The 19,138-nt window shown below is 40.2% G+C and overlaps 1 protein-coding gene across 12 annotated transcripts in view, besides 2 other annotated features; it reads left to right on the top strand.

Moving 5' to 3' along the window:
- SUMF1 (sulfatase modifying factor 1) overlaps positions 1-19,138 on the top strand; it is a 432,784-nt gene that overhangs the window by 60,155 nt on the left and 353,491 nt on the right. The gene's annotated exons all lie outside the window — the stretch shown is intronic.
- Positions 7,256-7,550: a silencer, noted in NCBI's record as "tiled region #14120; K562 Repressive non-DNase unmatched - State 23:Low". NCBI's record gives its function as "represses a minimal TATA promoter and a strong SV40 promoter by Sharpr-MPRA in K562 cells {active_cell/tissue: K562}" and the evidence as "EXISTENCE:reporter gene assay evidence [ECO:0000049][PMID:27701403]".
- Positions 12,736-13,030: an enhancer, noted in NCBI's record as "tiled region #6601; K562 Activating non-DNase unmatched - State 23:Low". NCBI's record gives its function as "activates a minimal TATA promoter and a strong SV40 promoter by Sharpr-MPRA in K562 cells {active_cell/tissue: K562}" and the evidence as "EXISTENCE:reporter gene assay evidence [ECO:0000049][PMID:27701403]".

Raw genomic sequence — 19,138 nt, 5'->3', positions numbered from 1 at the left:
CGTGTGTGTGTGTGTGTGTGTGTGTGTGTCCCATGTGTGTGTCCTGTGGAGGTGCCACATTTAGATGGCCTCATTCCCCTCCTCACAGATACAACCTAGTAAATGGCCAGTGCTGTGATGTATCTTAACCCAATCATAATGTGGTTTTTGAAAATGTAGTTTGTGGTTATTTGCTTTTCAGTTGCCTAAGTCTGAGACGGATATTAATCTGTGGTGCTATGTAGTGCTTTCAGTTAAAGAAATATGTAGAGGTTATATAACATTCTAATTTCCCACATCTGCATACTCACTTTCAGTACCAAGGTACCATGCTGACTTGTTCAGTTGATGATGTGACAGGATGGGGTGATCTGTGATATCTTTCCCTCTCTGTGAGGGACACAATTGCATTTAGGTGGCTTCTTTTTCTCAGAGAAAGAACTCTCCTTTTGTTTTTGTTTTATTTTGTTTTATTTGAGATGGAGGCTTGCTCTGTCACCCAGGATGGAGTGCAGTGGCACAGTCTTGGCTCACTGCAACCTCCGCCTCCCAGGTACAGGCAATTCTTCAGCCTCAGCCTCCCGAATAGCTGGGATTACAGGTGCCCGTGCTACCACACCCAGCTAATTTTTTTGTATTTTTAGTAGAGACGGGGCTTTACCATGTTGGCTAGGCTGGTCTTGAACTCCTGACCTCTGGTGATCCACCTGCCTCCGCCTCCCGAAGTGCTGGGATTACAGGTGTGAGCCATCACACTTGGCTGTCAGGAAAAGAACTCTAATTTTGGAATAAACCAAAGTAACTTGGATTACAGCTCTGCCACTTAATATTAAAGGACTACTGCTAAATGTAGAATATATCTTCAGTTTCCTTGTCTACAAATTAGAAATAATTATACTGGATGAAATTGTGTGACATTTAATTTGTCATTGTATGTGCAAACTTTATATCACTTTCAGAGGAATGTTGTTATTTTACTGTTTTTGTTTATATTATGTTTTGGCTATCTAATTATAATATTGCTTACTTCCATCAGCCGAGTTAATGAGAAACGCTGGCCTTTAGAAGCATGGGGCGGGCGGTGTGGGGCGAGGCAGGGAAAAAAGAAAAAAAGAAGCAGAGGGAAAGAAAACAATATTTATAAATAGTGATTGCTGATATTCCTCTTACCCTTACCTTTTGTTGGCTTATCACATACTCATTCTCTCCATGAAAACTTTGCTTATGCTTCCTGGATCATCAAAGCCCAGTCAGATCAAAGTTTCCAAAATGTATTCCTCCTCTGAATGAATCTCTGCTACTTACCACATTTTAGCCAGAGATTCAGTTTGTTTTGCTTCTGTTAATGTGGAATTTGATTGTCTAATAGATTGTATAGCTCTAGACACATTTTGGAAAGTGTCCTCTGTTTCTCAGGGTTGTTTGATGTATGGAATTGACCTCGGATATGCTGGGTGCAGTGGCTCATGCCTGTAATCCCAGCACTCTGGGAGGCTGAGGTGGGAGGATCGCTTGAGCTCAGGAGTTTGAGACCAGCCTGGGCAACATGGCAAAATCTCATCTTTACAAAAAACACAAAAAGTTAGCTGGGCATGGTGGCACATGCCTGTAGTCCCAGCTACCCGGCAGATTGAGGTGGGAGAATGGCTTGAGCCTGGGAGGCAGAGGTTGCAGTGAGCTGAGATCACACCACTGCCCTCTAGCCTTGGTGACAGAGCCAGACCCAGTCTCAAAAAATAAAACAAACAAAATACACACAAAAAATAGAATTGACCTGGGATAAGCCCTCCTTGTCTGTCTCCTGTGGTGTGCAGAGGCCACCCCTCTGAGCTCTTGCCTATCCACACATAGCACATTAAGTACATTTGGGGCACATACCAGTTCTCTGGCCAGAGATTAGCATGTATACTCATGCTTGCAGATGCCACACTTGTTGACCCCACTCAGATACTTCTTTGCCATTGCATGATAGGACTTAGGGCATGGACTCACAGTAGTTTTTTAGATCCTCTAAACTCCACACTTGATTGTTCCCCTTCCCTGTGATCCTCTGGCCTCCCACCACTGTGTCTCAGTGTGCAACAGAAACATGAGACTGTTACTTAGCTTGCCTCCTGATCCTCCTCTGCCCAGGCGATGAGACTGCCATTTTCTCAGTCTGGCAAAAACCGGTAAATATCATATCATCTTTCTCCTTAGTTAAGACTTTCATACCCATTGATGGTCCCATCAACAGCCTCATCATTTCAAGCAAGCATTCATTGAGTACCTAGTATGTGCTGGGGGCTGGGGGAGGAAGTTGATTGAGAATTTTTCGCTGCTATAAGACCTTCACTCATGTGTTTTTTGTTTTGTTTTGTTTTGAGTTTTTGAGACGGAGTTTCGTTCTTGTTGCCCAGACTGGAGTGCAATGGCACTATCTCAGCTCACTGCAACCTCCACCTCCTGGGTTCAAGCGATTCTCCTGCCTCAGCCTCGCAAGTAGCTGGGATTACGGGCATGTGCCATGTGTCACCACGCCTGGCTAATTTTGTATTTTCAGTCGAGACGGGGTTTCGCCATGTTGGTCAGGTTGGTCTCGAACTCCTGACATCAGGTGATTCACCCGCCTCAGCCTTCCAAAGTACTAGGATTACAGGCATGAGCCACTGCACCTGGCCCACTCACATGTTTTTAATCAGGACATTCTGAGGACATGAATAAATCAGTTTGATAGAGAACTAACCTAATGTTCAAAATGAAAAAAAGCACGAAAGTGATAATGAAGTTCACCTGATAATAAATTTAATACAGCTACAAGTTATACAGAGTAAGTGCCAAGGGGAAAGCAAGGTGATCAAAATATCAGCCTTTTGGGACTATGCTTGGGAAAATAATTTTATCTCCTTCTCCCTAGTGGAAGATGAATGTCTTCTGGAGGAAGTACTAATGTTTACTCATTGTAATTTTTCACTGTGGATCAGTTGCAAGGTTCTTCATCCAGTAAAATAGAACTATTGAGAAATAGAAATAAACTCAAATGTATGGTTCAGATATTTAGATCCTGCAGACACATTTCAAACACGTTATCCAGACATATGCTTCTTGCTTGAAAAGAGCGAATTCTAATTCCAGTTACCATTTGGACAATGTTAGAAATACCGTTTGTTTCCACTTCAGGACAAAATGACCCTCAGAGCCTCATGTTACAACTACTGATTCTTCCTGAGCAAAGAGAGCAGAACACCAAAATGTACCATGGCCTCCTTAGTTTGGAGGGTCAGTGGATCTGAAAGGTGGGAAATGGAAACCTCCTCTAACCTCTCCCCCTGTGGGAATTCCTTCTTTGATACCCCTGACAGCTGTGGTCCTGCAGCCTCTTGCTAAAAGCTTCTTGGTGAACAGTAACTCTCCAACACTTGGGGCAACTTACTGCATTGTCAGATGTTCTCACTGAAGTTTCCTCTGTCCAACTCAAATCCTCCTTGAAGTGTCAACTCAGTGGCCCTCATTCTGCTGTTGCTGAGAATAAGAATGTATCTTCCTTCTGCCTTGTACAGACAAGCTCTTCAGATACCTAAGAACAGTTGTCGCGTCTCCCCTGCCCCACCCATCTTTCTGTTTCTAGATAAGCATTCCCATTCTTCTGCTGCACCTGGGATAACTGGGTTTGCAATTCAGGGCAACCCAGTTACATTCCTCTGAATAACATGAATTGGGGGAAAATGTCCTTTTTTATAAATGGACACCCAGAATTATACACAGCATTCTAGATGTTGTCTGATAGATGCAAATAATAGTGGAGCTATCCTTTTTTTATTCGTTCTTTCTCATCAGGTCTCAGATTACATCCGCAGTTAAGAGTTTGGTTAGTGGATGCCAATCAGGCTGGGTTTGAATCTTGTCACTGTAACTGTGGCTTCCCAGATGTGTGACCCTGTGCAAGTCACTTAACTGCTCAGAGACTCAGTTTACTTTCTTCTTAAATGGGGATGAAGATTTCTACTTCATAGAGTTGTAAGGAAGTGAGAGAGTGTAGTATGGGACTTAGCACCATGTTTGGCAGATAGCATGGGATACATGGTAGCTTCCATCCTAATTGCTGTCAGTGCTATCCTACTGGTACTACAGGCACGCCTACTGTTACTGTGAGTAGCAGCTGCAGTAGTAATGAAGAACAGTATCTCACTGATGGTTCCCGTTAAGCTTGTAGCCAAATAAAACTTGCATTTTTCTCCCGTGTTGATCTCAGGCTAGGTCTCCCCAAATGTTGTTACACAGCGATTTTTTTTATGTAGCTATTTTTTACATGCAGTTATTTTTTACAAAATGATTTTAAAAATTTGGAATCTTTTCTGTTTTGTATGTGCATTTTGAAACTTCATGCAATGCCTATCTCAACTCTCCATGAGATTTTATTTTGTTTATGGGTTTCAACCTTGAGAGACAGCTTATAGAAATCATTCTGGCTATCAGTGCTGTCTTTGATGGTGGTCGCTTTCCCTTCCAATTTATTATCACCAACAGATTTGGTTGTTTTAAAGTCATTGATATAGTATGAATGGGACAGGGCCCAAGGCAAAGCCCTGTAGCACTGGAGTCAGCCTACATTTCCTGAGTATCCACTGTAGTATCGGGCTATATCTACTCTTGGGATACAGGTATGTGAAACACCAGTCTTGCTGTTAAGAAGCTCCTAGTTTGTTGAGGAAAGATTGAGTGCCAATCAGATGAATCAAGATGCACTATGCTAAGATTTGTTATGGATATGATTGAGGTAGAGCCTTGGTGACCTCTGTTCTCTACCAGTTGGAGCTGTGAAGGCTTCTTGGAGGAGGTACCTTTAGAAAGGATGGCAGCAATTGGTGAGGTAACTATGATAGGTCCATGGGATCCAAAGATGAAGAAGACAGGGTCCAGCCTTTTGAGGAATTCAGGGTAAGTGGTGAAAGGATTTTCTTCTTTCTTTCCCCACTTCTTTTAGTTTCTTAAGTAAATGCCTAATCGGTGCCCTGAGCCATAGCTGCCCTCCACTTGCCCTTAGCCCTGAAGTGTGATGACTTTTCCATACCCAAAGTAAATGCAGTGAGGGGAGCATGTGTGTGTGCGCACTTCTTTCTTCTTGTTTTTCTGCAACATATTTTCCTACTTCTTATGGAGCAGTAGAGCTGTTTCAAGAATTTCCTTAAGCTTACCAGCTAGGGGCTTTGGAGAGTGACTTGTAAACTGTCTTCCTTACTTCAGTGTGCTCAAGAAAGGGGCTTTTATTGGTTACCTTTTCACAGTGTATCACGCTCCTGGGAAGGGAGAGCCATATGCTATAAGATTGGGATGGCAGCAGTTCAGCAGGATGGGTTGGGCTTATCACAGAACCATTAAAAGAAAAGAGCAGAGAGTTTGCTAGTGTGGTTATTTGTCATTCTCAGTAAAGTTCTTTCTGCTGTGCTGAATAACAGAGCCATGGTTAAGTGATGAAAGTGAGGTCAGTCGCCTGGGTTTCCATCTGAGATTTAGCTTTAAAATGTCGTGGGGCCCTAGGTGAGTCATGTCACCCTTGTAGGCTTAGTGCTTCATCTGTAAGTTGTGCTGAGGATGTAGCAAGCCATTCCCACGGGTACAGTAAATCCGGGGAACTGCCCTTGGGTCTGCTGCTTGCTTGGAAAGTAGGCAGTGATGGAGGCTGCAGCTGACAGTAACATGGTTAAGAGGGTGTTTTTAAAATGATTTCCACCGAGTGTAAACTAGTTCAACCATTGTGGAAGACAGTGTGGCAATTCCTCAAGGATCTAGAACTAGAAATACCATTTGACCCAGCGATCCCATTACTGGGTATATACCCAAAGGCTTATAAATCATGCTACTATAAAGACATATGCACACGTATGTTTATTGTGGCACTATTCACAAGAGCAAAGACTTGGAACCAACCCAAATGTCCATCAGTGATAAACTAGATTAAGAAAATGTGGCACATATACACCATGGAATACTGTGCAGCCATGAAAAATGATGAGTTCATGTCCTTTGTAGGGACATGGATGAAGCTGGAAACCATCATTCTTAGCAAACTATCACAAGGACAGAAAACCAGACACCTCATGTTCTCACTCATGGGTGGGAGTTGAACAATGAGAACACTTGGACACCGGGTGAGGAACATCACACACCAGGGCCTGTTGTGGGGTGGGGGGAGGGGGGAGGGATAGCATTAGGAGAAATACCTAATGTAAATGACAAGTTAATGGATGCAGCACACCAACATGGCACATGTATACATATGTAACAAAACTGCACGTTGTGCACATGTACCCTAGAACTTAAAGTATAATAAAAATAAAATAAAATGATTTCCATCTAGGTCCACATCCCAGCTCTGCTATCTTGGGGCCAGGGGGTGAAATCCTTTGCTTCTGTTTCCTTGTCTATAAAATGGAGTAATAGTAAGATTCAACAATATTGAACTGTTCTGAGGATTAAAAAGAGAGGTTAACTCACTGTGCCCACCACACAGCAAGCACTTGGTAAATGAGAGCAGATTACGGTTTCTAAGCGCCTCTTGGTTGGAACATCTCCCTTTGGAAAATCCTTTCCCCTTCAGCATTGCCTCTTGTTGTTTAGTAGACCAGATTATGTTATTTTTCTTTCATTTGTTTAATAGCATTTTTGAGCACCTGCTGTGTGATAGTGGCAAACATAAACATCACGCAGTCCTTGCCTCCAGAGAATTTGAATCTCAGAATTCCTAATGGTGGTTTCTTATCATTTCCATGGTAATAGGCACTTTTGCTCCACTGATGCTTAGGAAGCCAGAACCAAAGCCCGGGTTTTTTGGATTTCTTTCAATCAAAAGATTGTTTATTCCTTTCCTATACTTTTCTTCACCTGGAAAGGCCATGGGGAAATTTCAGGGTGAGGGCTTGAAAGCCTGTCTTTCTTGGCTCCCTTAGTTGCATCCACAGCTGGCAGGCCATGTCTGAGCAGCTTTTCTGGGCAGAGGAGGGGTACTCTGGGAATTCAGGTAGAATTCGGCCCCCAGTTTGGGTCGGTTGCTTGAGGAATTTTATCTCTTGTCTTGGTGTGGTTTGAGGTATGAATCGAGAACAGAAATTTAGGCTCTCGGCTGGGTGCAGTGGCTCACGCCTGTAATCCCAGCATCTTGGGAAGGTGAAGTGGGCGGATCACGTAGCCTGGCTAACATGGTGAAACTCCATCCCTACTAAAACATACAAAAATTAGCTGGGTGTGGTGGCACGGGCCTGTAGTCCCAGCTACTTGGGAGGCTAAGGCACAAGAATCACTTGAACCTAGGAGGCAGAGGTTACAGTGAGCCGAGATCGCGCTACTGCACTTCAGGCTAGATGGCAGAGCGAGACTCTGTCTCAAAAAAAGAAAAACAAGAAAAGAAAAGAAAGGAAATTTACGCACTGTTTTGAGGGCCAGACTCTGCCAGAGTTGGCATCCTGTCTTCCACTTCCGTGGGCCTTCCTTTCCATCTTTTTCATGACCTGGGCTCTCCCTGGACAGATTGTTTTTTCTTGGCAGTGAATTACAGTTAACCCTAAATGTTCCCGCACTGTCTCAGCCTGTGATTGCTGCTTAATATTTTCAGATAGGGCTCTGTCTCATCACTCTTGGCTGTAAGCAAAGATTAATAAACATATATATTCCAACTCAATAATTCTCTTCTTTACATTTTCTCACATAGAGTAGTCCATGTTCATAAAGAGTTTTCCCACAGTACTCCTGAGTCATCACAAATGGTTTGGGGGGGAAGAGTGGTCTCCGTCAACTTAAAGATGGCCCCCAAGCCCTTCCCCACTGTAGCTTTATAGATTTTTAGGGTGAAATGTGTTTCGGGTTAAAAGAAGATATATGCCTCAGACCCTGCATCCCTGTATAATATAGTCCTGACTTTACTCCAGACTGCTGTGCTTCTGGGGTGAACAAAACGAGGAGTGAGGAGTAAAGTCAATGTCTTAAAGCTTTGCATTTGTATGGGACTTTTCTCCCCTGAAGAGCTCGAAGTGTTCACGCATGCGTTTTCCCCATCCCTCCGCCCCCTCTCGTTCTCATATCCTCAAAATATTCCTGATTATGCAAAAAAGAAGATGTGGTCTTGGACTCATTTTTTATGGTGTGGAGCTCTAGAGGTTTTGACTTTGGCCCGGATTTTGAACTTGATTTGCAGTCAAGATTAAATCCCAGATCTTCTGATCCCCAGACTTGTTAATGTTTACTGGATTCCAGATGTTATTTCAAATACAAAACATGAAAAGCTACTTATTTCCTTGTAGTAGTATTTTGTCACAAGCCACATATGTTAAATCAGGCATCTCAAGACTTGTTATAAATATAAAGATAATTTAAGAGATGGGAATCGCTATGTCATACAGTGGCTTCTTCCAAAAGCAAGTGGGAGGCAGTGAATTTTTCCTATGGTTTTTGATCTCTTGAGATTTTAAATCAGTTTCTTGTCCTTCTTACCTTCCTAACCTCTTATTTCCATTAAATTATTTTTAAAAATTATTGATTTGGCAAGCTAGTTTTTGTATCTGACGTCTGACTTGTTAATGAGCTGTAAAGTAATATAGTGCCATTTCCCATTCCTATAGCTTACTTTTAGTGACTTCCCCATGTCATAGTATGACTCATTTGTTCTTTCTCTAAGGATCTGGAAATAAAACCAGGTTATTAAGAAGAGAAAATATATAGTTAAGTTATCTTTTTTTGTTACCAAATTATGCTGTGATTTTTTTCATGTGGATGTGTGGATGCCTTTTTAATATAGGAATATGCATATCCACACGTAGAAGTTTTATGTAAGGGTATACTTCTGTCCATTCAGCAAAATTTACTGGCAAGCTACTGAATGCCAGATTTGTATGCTGGGTTCTGGGAATCTAACAGACACAATCCTCTTTTCTTAAGGAGCTTGCAGATGTTAAAAGAGCAAGCAAACCCACCTCGGTGGGTTTACATACATATACATTTATTGCTATAAAAGTATAAAATTAAGGAGGAAGTATAGCATGATGGTTAAAAGCATGCAGTTTTGGAGTGGGACCTGGATTTAAGTCATAGCTCAGCCACCTACTAGCTGAATAACCTGGAGCAAGTTAGTTAACCTTTCACCCAGCTTCCTCATCTGTAAGTGAGGAAATAGTAATACCCTTTATGGGATTATTGGAGGTTTCAAGGAGATGCTACAGAGAAAATGTCTAGGGTAGAGGCTGTCATGTAGTAAACATTTGATATATGTTAATTATGAGTATTATGTTTTACGTGTAATGAAAATTCAAATGAAATAAGCTAGCAAGCTATGAAATTATACCTTACTCTGAAATCTAATCCATGGAAGACATTTTTTTGGACCTTTTTAGGGATGTGGAAAGGAGATAGGCCATCTGGTAGCATGCAATTATAAATAACACTTCTTTCCATGGACAGTCTCCACTTTATACTCAGTAAAGGAAGTAAACATGGCATCTAATCAAGCAGCAGAACATACAGAATTGGGCACTTAGCACTTATCCACTTTCAAAACGTCCAAATAAAATCATGGAAGTCTTCAAGTGGTTCTCTGAAAATAATGGTTAAGTGAAAATGCCATTTGGTATAAGCTAATTGCTTTATTCTCTCATAACTTGCTAATGAATTGTCACTGAAGAACACAGAAGATTGTGAGAATAAAAGAATGTGATAGATCCCTAGTGAGACTAAACCGTGTCTACTTTTCTCACTTCAAGTAATACTTAGAACCATATGCGGCCCTGCACTCAGGACTGACAGTTTTATACAGTTATTCTAAGCAATATAAGTGATTGATTCTGGAGCAAATCTTTCAGTGAATGTAGTCTGTACCCTGTGTTGGTGGTGGTTTGGTTTTAGTTGACCTAGAAGTTGCCTTTGCATTTAGGATGATGCTGCTGTATAACATGCATTGCTTAGGATAAAACAAACGGATTTCTCTATAATTTAGATCTAATCCATCTGAAATTGGATAGAGCAGGCATGTTCCTTTGTGTTGCATATTAGTGTGTTACACTTTCTGAAGTTAAAGAACCACCTGCATTATTAGGAGGCTAATTCCATCTAGCAGTCTACTGCATTCCATCTGGCAGTCTACCACTACCAGTAGATGATGAGAAAGTTTCTTCTTTGTTGCAGAAATCTAATGTGATATGTGTTTTCTCTTAATAGTTGCTTCTTCTGTGTTTAGGTTGACTGGTTTTCAGCACATAGATGCTTTATAGCCTTGTGTTTCACAGCTATAATAATTCATGCTTCTTAAACAGAGCATATGTATCTACTGTTATATAGGTCAGAGAATTAATCATTCTCCTGGGGCCTCACTCTTTTTTCTACTCTCTCTCCTTCCTGTCTCTCAGTGGGGAGAGAGGCTGTAAAACTTGAGGCCCTCGAATGAGGCACCTCAAAGAAGATTGTAGTTGCTTATCTCACACCTCAGCAAGAAACCATGGGAAGTTCCTTGAAGGAAGTGAAACAATTTGGGATGGAGAAGCTCCAAGATAAAAGGATTTGGACATGTGTCCACCAGCTCACATCAAATGGTTGGTGGGGAAGGACCCTATAAGGTCTCTAGAGGAGCACAAGTGAGGGAACTCAGGCCAGAAGGGAAAGGATAGAGCCCAGACTAGATACTGGTTCTCCCAACTACCTGGCCTGTGCGGTAGGTCCCGTGGTGATGCCTCCTGCCTGGGCTCATCCTGTGGAGTCTCTGCAGGTTATTTTGCAGACACTTTCTATTTGCAATCTCTTGTAAGACTTTTTATTGTGTGCTTTTATGGCCTTGTGGAACTCGTGAACTATAGAGAGGTTTGTGTGTCTGAAACTAGAATAGTCGAATGATTTATTCGAAAAATGTTACAGTCTATGAGTTAGTTCAGAAGGGGCACATGGCAGAATGGCCGACTATGATGCTGAAGCCAGACATCCTGGCCTTCAGCCCAGCTCCTCTGCTTTCTAGCTGCGTGACCTTGGGCACACTATTCAACTTTTCTGTTCCTTAGTTCTTTAGCTGTAAAATAAGGCCAATGAGTGGGTGTCCAAACATTCCTGGTTTATATCTGTGCCTAGCACAAGTGTTAATAGTTCCACCTTTCAATCTCTAAAGTATCCTTATTTGGATGGTCAATTATATGTCTGCCATACCAATAAGAGAATCTGTATCAAAAATTTGTTTGGAAGACTAAAAATATAGAAAACAATATCCAACTGTAATGTGCTTGGTAAATATTAGCTGCTATTGTTTATTTATGTGCTATTTATTTTACAAGTAGACTGGTATTTTAAATACCTGATTTCATGTATTACTCCAGGAGCAAGAACGGTTACCATAGACTTTGGGGTCTGAAAGTGACTTATATTATTGGAAAATCAGGAGCCACCGTGGTATAAGCAAGTGTAATACAATTTCAAAAATTCTCTTCGTTTCTAATCTGGTGTGGGTGAAACAAGTAGCATGGAGGAAATGACTGTTTTCATTCATTTCACTAAAATGGTAATCACCACAATGGCATGCTGGTTTTACAGAGAAAATACAGTGGAGGTTGTTAATTTGATTCGTGTGTTTTACTGCGCTCTTCTTTCCAATTTGATCTCTAGTTTTCTTTCTTTGACCTTTCTTTGGGCGTCACCTTTTCCTCTCATGCAGGAGAGGCTAATGCTAATTGCAGTCCCTTCTTCATTGGTCCTTGTCCCCAGAGATAAATAAAATTAAACATAATTCAAAAAGCTTTATTTGAAGTAATGGTTTCATCTGCTCACTCTTAAAATATTTTTTCACGTTGGACATTAGGTAAAAAAAAATACAAATTATTGGTATTTTGACTGTATTTTTCACAAATATGTACTTTGGGTAGAGATGCTGCTGAACCTAGAAGATACTCTATCTGGTTAGGCACGGGGGTGAGATAAGCCTGCAGGTGCCACAGTGTGATGGACTTTGACTCCTGGTTCTCTCGCTTGCTACCTGTGTGATCTTGGGGATGCCATTTATTTCATCTCTCTGAGCTTCAGTATTTTCATCCTTAAAATGAAAAGAATGATACTTCCTGCTTTACAGGGTGATTATGAGGATGAAATACGATGATAAGGATTAGTATACTCTCAACAAATGGATGGTATGGTAATTAACAGAGACGTCAGTCATTTTAAATTCTAGAATATTTGAAAACAAAGAGTTCCTTTCTCGAAAGATGGTTGAGGTGATTGAAAGAGGCTTCTTTTAGGAGGAAGATGTGCAGAGGCTGTGTCTCTGATGATAAAAATACTTTGATGATGTGGATTTCATACAGGAGAAGCTAGTGCTCTTCATCACAGAGCTAAATACAGACCTGCCCAGGACCCAGAGAAACTAAAGGAGGATATAGGGTCAGTGAGAAACAGCTGCAGCCTTGCCTGGATCCCTTGTATCAGTCTTCTGAGAATAAAAACACTATGGCTATTGCTACTCTTCTGTCTTCTAGGTTGCTTAGTAAATGTCTTCTGTAGCACATCCTAACGAGAAACATAAAGGGAAGAGAATTCTGGGAAATGAGGTTCAGTCTAGCCAAGGTGACACATTACAAAGCTGGGACATTAACAGTTATCCAATCTAGTTTAATCTAACACCTTTGAATTACTTTAAAACCAACCCCAAATACTATGTACTTTTTTCCCTAGAAAACTTCAGTATGTGGCTGGGTGCTGTGGCTCATGCCTATAATCCCAACACTTTGGGAGAGCGAGATGGGCAGATCACTTGAGCCCAGGACTTTGAGACCAGCCTGGGCAACATAGTGAAACACCGTCTTTACCCAAAAATTTAAAATGGTGCATGTGTCTGTGGTCCCAGCTACTCAGGAAGCTGAGGTGGTAGGATTGCTTGAGTCCAGGAAATTGAGGCTGCAGTGAGTCATGATCACGCCACTGCACTCTACCCTGGGTAACAGAGTAAGACCCTGTCTCAAAACACACAAAAAAAGCACTTCAGTATGTGACTGTAAAAGCTAAACACTCTTTTAAAAAAATAATAATAAAAACAAAACTATAATGGTATTATCAAATCTCAAAAAAAACCTAAAAATAATTCCTTAATATTATCAAATACTCAGTCAGCATTTACATGTCCTTAATTATCTCATGAACATTTTTCTGTAATTGGCTTGTTGAGAATCAGGATCCTAAGAAATTCCATTCTTGTTGTGATCCTAATTACATTTGGTTGAGTTCTTATTTTGGTAATTGCAATGTAAGAGGTCAAGTGATTCACTAATACAGAAAACAAGTACAAAACTGAACAAAATTGTAAAGAAAAAACACACACCCAACCACTGGAAACTGAAAATCCACCAAAGGGAGGTGATAAATTGAGAAGTGTTGATTCTTGAGAAACTTCTATAGCTTTGGCCAAGAATGGGTGAGAATATGTGGCGTTCTTGCTTGGAACTGATTCCATATCCTCTTTCTGCCACACTCTATTATTAAAAATAATAATAATAATAAATAAATAAATAAATAAAAGGCCAGTCATGGTGGCTCACTTCTGTAATACCAGTGCTTTGGGAGACTGAGGTGGGATGATCTCTTGAGGCCAGGATTTCAAGACCAGCCTGGTCAATATAGTGAGATGTTGTCTCTATAAAAAAATAAAATATTAGGCGAGTGTGGTGGCATATGCCTGTAGTCCCAGCTATTCAGGAGGCTGAGATGGGAGGATCACTTGACCCCAGGAGGTCGAGGCTATGGTGAGCTATGATTGCACCACTGCATTGTGGCCTGGGTGACACAGGGAGACCCTGTCTCTAAAACTAAAATAAAAATGTAACTGTCAGTTCAGGACTGGTGGCGAAAACCAAAGCCTTACAGCCAAAGATTGACTTGATTCAGGGTGGAGGATGGGGGCACTGAAAGCCTGTGGCTTTGTCAGCTAAAAAAGCAGACTCACGTTAGAATATTTTGGGAAATCCTGCAGCATGACTAGCCCACGGTAGCAGTTGTGATGGGTGGTAGACCAGCCAGAAATTTAACAGGGAGATCGCGCAAGTAACAGAGACATTAAAGGTGTGAAATAAGCTTTTCTAGGCTTTCTGGGAAACTAAACATAAGCAGGGAAGACCCAAGAGAGCCCAGCAAAAAGTGAAAGCCAGGGAGACTTGAGATGACTGCCACTTTGAATGCCATTTCTCAATCCATACACCTTGGTTCATGAAAGGTGAAAGCCCAGTGGGTTCAAAGTATCTGAGATAGCCTCTGTCTAAATTATTGGTCAGCTGTTCAAGTATGCAACACAAATATGACCTCAATGGAATTGAAAAAAAAAATCTGAACAGAGACATCAGTGGGTACAGACCATGGGGAATGAGATTCTACAGTTTATATTCAGGTAAGTTACCAAAACAAAACAAAACAAAACAGAACAAAAACCTTCAGGAAAATAGGGTAATCAAGAGTTGCTGTTACATATACATGTGCTCTCTCTCTCGCTCTCTTTCTCTCTTTATATATATAGGTAGATATATATATATATATATATATATACACACACACACACACACACACATATATATCTGAACATATAAACATTTAAGATTATTTAAGATTATATATGTAATCTTAAATTATGCATATTATGTATAATCTTAAATGTCTAGTTTTCAGCTAAAATGTAATAAACATGCAGACTAACAAGAAAGTGTGACCCATACTAAAGAAGATGAGTATTTAAGTTAAAACTAACTCCCAAGTAGGCCCAGATGCTAGATTTAACAAAGACTTAAAAATAGCTATTATGATTATATTTAAAGAACTAAAGTATATTTGAATAGTTGCTATAAAATACGCCAACTGTGAGTCAACAAATAGAGAATCAAATAGAAATTTTAAAAAAAGAACCAAGTAGAATTTCTAGAATTGAAAAGTATACTACTAACTGAAATGAAAAATTCCCTAGTTGAACACAAGAGCAGATAAGAAATGGTAGAAGAAAGATTCAGTGATCCTGAAGGTAGATCAAGAGAAAGTATCCAGGACAGGTGCAGTGGCTCACACCTATAATCCTAGCACTTTGGGAGGCTGAGGCGAGTGGATCGCTTGAGCCTGGGAGTTTGAGACCAACCCTGGTAACATGGAGAAACCATGTCTCTACAAGAAATAAAAAATTAGCCAGGTATGGTGGTGCACATCTGTAGTCCTAACTACTTGGGACGCTGAGGTGGCAGGATCACCTGAACCTAGGGAGGTTGAGGCTGTGGTGAACCAAGATTGCACCAATGCACTCCAGCCTGTGTGACAGAGCAAGACTCTATCTCAAAAAAAAAAAAAAGAAAAGAAAAGAAAAGAAAAAGGAATTATCCAAACCAATGAGCAGAGAGGGCTGGGCATGGTGGCCCATGCCTGTAATCCCAATACTTTTGGAGGCTGTGGCAGGTAGATCACTGGAGCCCAGGAGTTCGAGACCAGCCTGGGCAACATGGCAAAACCCTATATCCACAAAAATTACAAAAATTAGTCAGGTATCATGGTATGCACCTGTAATCCCAGCTACTCAGGAAGCTTAGGTGGAAAGATCTCCTGGGCCCACGAAGTCAAGGCTGCAGTGAGCCAGATCATGGCAATACACTCCAGCCTGGGTGACAGAGTGAGACCCTGTCTCAAAATAAATACATAAAAATTTAAAAAGCAGAAAAAATTTCAGAGAAAAATCAAGACAGCCCTGTGCAACAACATCATGTGTTCCAACATAATTTTAACACATGTGTAAAGGGAATCTCAAATGGAGAGGAGCAAAAGGGACAAAAATTTGAAAGAAAAATCTGAAAATTTCCCAAATTTGATGAAGATTATCTATAAATCCAAGAAGCTCAGTGAACCTCAATTAGGATAAACTGCAAAAACAAAAACAAAAACAAAAACAAAAAACCACACCTGGACAAATCATATTGACACTGTTGAAAGACAAAATCTTGAAAATAACAAGAGGAAAACAGTTCATCACATACAGGGCAACAATAATGTGATTAATAGCTGATTTCTGATCAGAAACAGTGGAGACCAGAGGATGATGGTGTGACATAATCAAAGAGTAGAAAGGAAAACAAACAAACCTGTCAACTAAGAATTCTATATCCAGGAGAACAATCCTTCAAAAATGAAGGTGAAGGAGGTTTGACTCCTGGTTCTAGAAAGATGGAGAGATGGAGTAGATGTACATTTTTCTATTCCTCTTACTAAATACAACTAAAACTCTGGACACTGCACATAAAAGAATTATAAGCAGACCATGGAAAGTTAAAGCAGAGTGGCTGAAGACCTCAGAGTCCTAGAAATGACATTATGGTGAGCCCAGGAGTTCAAGACCAGCCTAGGCAACATGACAAAACCTGGTCTCTATAAAAAATACAAAAATTAGCCAGGTATCATGGTATGTGCTTGTAGTCCCAGATACTCAGGAGGCTTAGGTGGAAAGATCCCCTGGGCCCAGGAAGTTGAGGCTGCAGTGAGCCAAGATCGTGCCACTGTACTCCAGCCTGGGTGACAGAGTGAGACCCTGTCTCTTTTATTTCCTTTTTGCTGCATATATCCCTGACTTGGAGCTAGGGAAGCAAGCAACCCAGAAATGCTAACAGGTGTAGACAAAGGAAGTCTCAACAAAAGCCTGTTCTCTCTAGCCAAAGGAGCAAGTAGGAAATGGGCAGTCTAACAATACAGAAAGCTTTTAGACAGTAACCACTCTACTCTTTCTAAACACCAAAGAAAAAACTGTCCAGCAAAGGCTGAGTGGGGAGTCTAGGCTTGTACCCTCATGCAGCTGTATTTAGGTGCCAGAGAAGGCCTAGCCAGGTCTTTCTTATTGTCTATTAGTAAAGTGGTTACCCCTACCTTGCTGTATACAACCAGGTGGGGAGCCAAAACTCCTACCCACATCTAGTAGTAATGAGGGGTCCCTTCTGAATCGTTAATAGAGGCTGAGCAAGGAACCTGAACTTCTGATTCTGCCTGGCAGTAACAGGATCACACCTTCTCTCTTCCCCTGCCAGGGTGGTATCAGAGAAAGACAGCTAAAACAGGGTGTTAATAAGATCCAGAGTCTTTTAACATAATAAGAACATGTCCACGTTTAAGTTGAAAAGTCACTTGCCATCCCAAGAACCAGGAAGATATCAAAGTGAATTTAAGTAGATAGCAGATGCCCACACTGAGATGACAGAGATGTTAGACTTACCCAGCAAAGATTTTAAAGAAACCATGGGAGAAAAAAGAAATCAGTGAGCAACTATGATCGCACTTGAAACAAATGAAAAAATTGAAAGCTTCAGCAAAGAAATAGAAAATATAAGAAGAACCAAATGCAAATTTTAGAACTGAAAATTGAAAAATCAAACTAAAAAGCTCAGTGTATGGGCTCAACAGCAGAATGGAGGGCACAGAGGGGGGAAAAATCAGTGAACTGTCAACTAGAACAAAAGAAATTACCCAGTCTGAGCAGTGGAAAGAAAACAGTAAATGAAGAAATGTTGAGAGCCACAAGGATCTACGTGATTATAACAAAAGTTCTCACATTTACGTATTGAGAATCCCAGAGGAGAAAACAAAGAAGACAGCATGAGAAGAGTCCTTCACAAAATAATGGCTGAAAGCACCTCCAGTTTGGTAAGAGACTTAAACCCACAGATTCAAGGAGCTAAGCAAACCCCAATGAGGGTAATTCTGAAGAAATCTACAAGAAGACACCGTTATAATTAAACTTCTGAACACTAAAGACAAAACTTTTAAAAGCAGCCAGAAAAAATGACACCTTACCTATAGGGAAAAAAAAAAAAAACAATTTGAATGACAATGGATTTCCCATTGGTGACCATGAAGGCCAGAGGAAATGGCATGATGTTTTTTAAGTGCTGAAAGAAAAGTATTGTTAACCCAGAATCCTTATCCAGTGAAGTATCTTTTTGGAATAAGGAGAAATCAAGATATTCTCAGATAAAGGCAGACTGAGAGAATTTGTTGCTAGCCAGCCTATCCTAAAAGGATGGCTAAAGGAATGTTCTTAAACAGAAAGAAAATGATTAAAGAAGGAACTTTTGAATATCGGACTGGAAGGAAGAACATGGTAAGCCCAAATATGAGTATATACAATAGGCTTTCCTTCCTCTGTGGAGTTTTCTAAATTTTATTTGACAGTTGAAACAAATTATAACATTGTCTGATATGGTTCTAAATGTATTTAAAGGAAATATTTAATATGATTATATTATACACAAGAGAAGCTAAAGGGATTTAAAGAGAGTTACGGTTTTGATGCTTCACTGGAACTGTTAAAATGACATGAGTAGACTGATACATTTATGACTATATGTACACACACAAGTAGAGTGATATGTTTATGAATATGCATACACCTTTTAGCAGCCACTAAAAAAGCTACACAAAGAGGTATGCTCAAAAGCACAATAGTTACATAAAAATGGAATTCTTTTTTAAAAGTTTGGGTAACCCACAGGAAGTCAGAAAAAGGAAAACAGAGACAAAAAAATAGAGAACAGACAGAAAACAAAAAATAAAATGACAGACTTAAGTCTTTGACATACCAATAATTATATTAAAAGTACATTGCTTAAATATATCAGTTAAAAAGACAGATTGGCATAGTAGATTAAAAAAACAACCTAATTATATGCTGTGTACAAGAAACTTCAAATATTATGATATATAAGCAAGTTGACAACAAAATGATGGGAAAATATATATTATGTAAACATTAATCAAAGGAAAGTCAGAGTGGCTATATTCATATCATGTAAAGCAGACTTCAAAGCAAAGAAATTTACCAGAGTTGAGGAAGAACGTATATAATGATAAAATGGTTAATCCTTCAAGAGGACATAGTAATACTGTGTATGCCCCAGAGAATGGAGCTGAAACATGTGAAGCAAAAAGTAATAAAATTGAAAGGAGAAGTAGACTAATCCACAATTTTAGTTGGGGACCTTACCACTCCTTTCTCAATAATTGATAGTACAATTAGACAGAAGTTCAGCAAGGATATAGAAGAACTCAACAATACCATCAACCAAAGGATCTGATAGAGATTTCTAGCACTGTCTACCCTATAACTGCAGAATACCCCTTTTCAGTTATGCATGGAACATATACCAAGTTAGACCATATCCTGTGCCATCAG

This window comes from Homo sapiens, chromosome 3, assembly GCF_000001405.40.
Source record: "Homo sapiens chromosome 3, GRCh38.p14 Primary Assembly".
NCBI lineage: Eukaryota > Metazoa > Chordata > Mammalia > Primates > Hominidae > Homo > Homo sapiens.
This window is presented reverse-complemented; position numbering and strand designations above follow the sequence as displayed.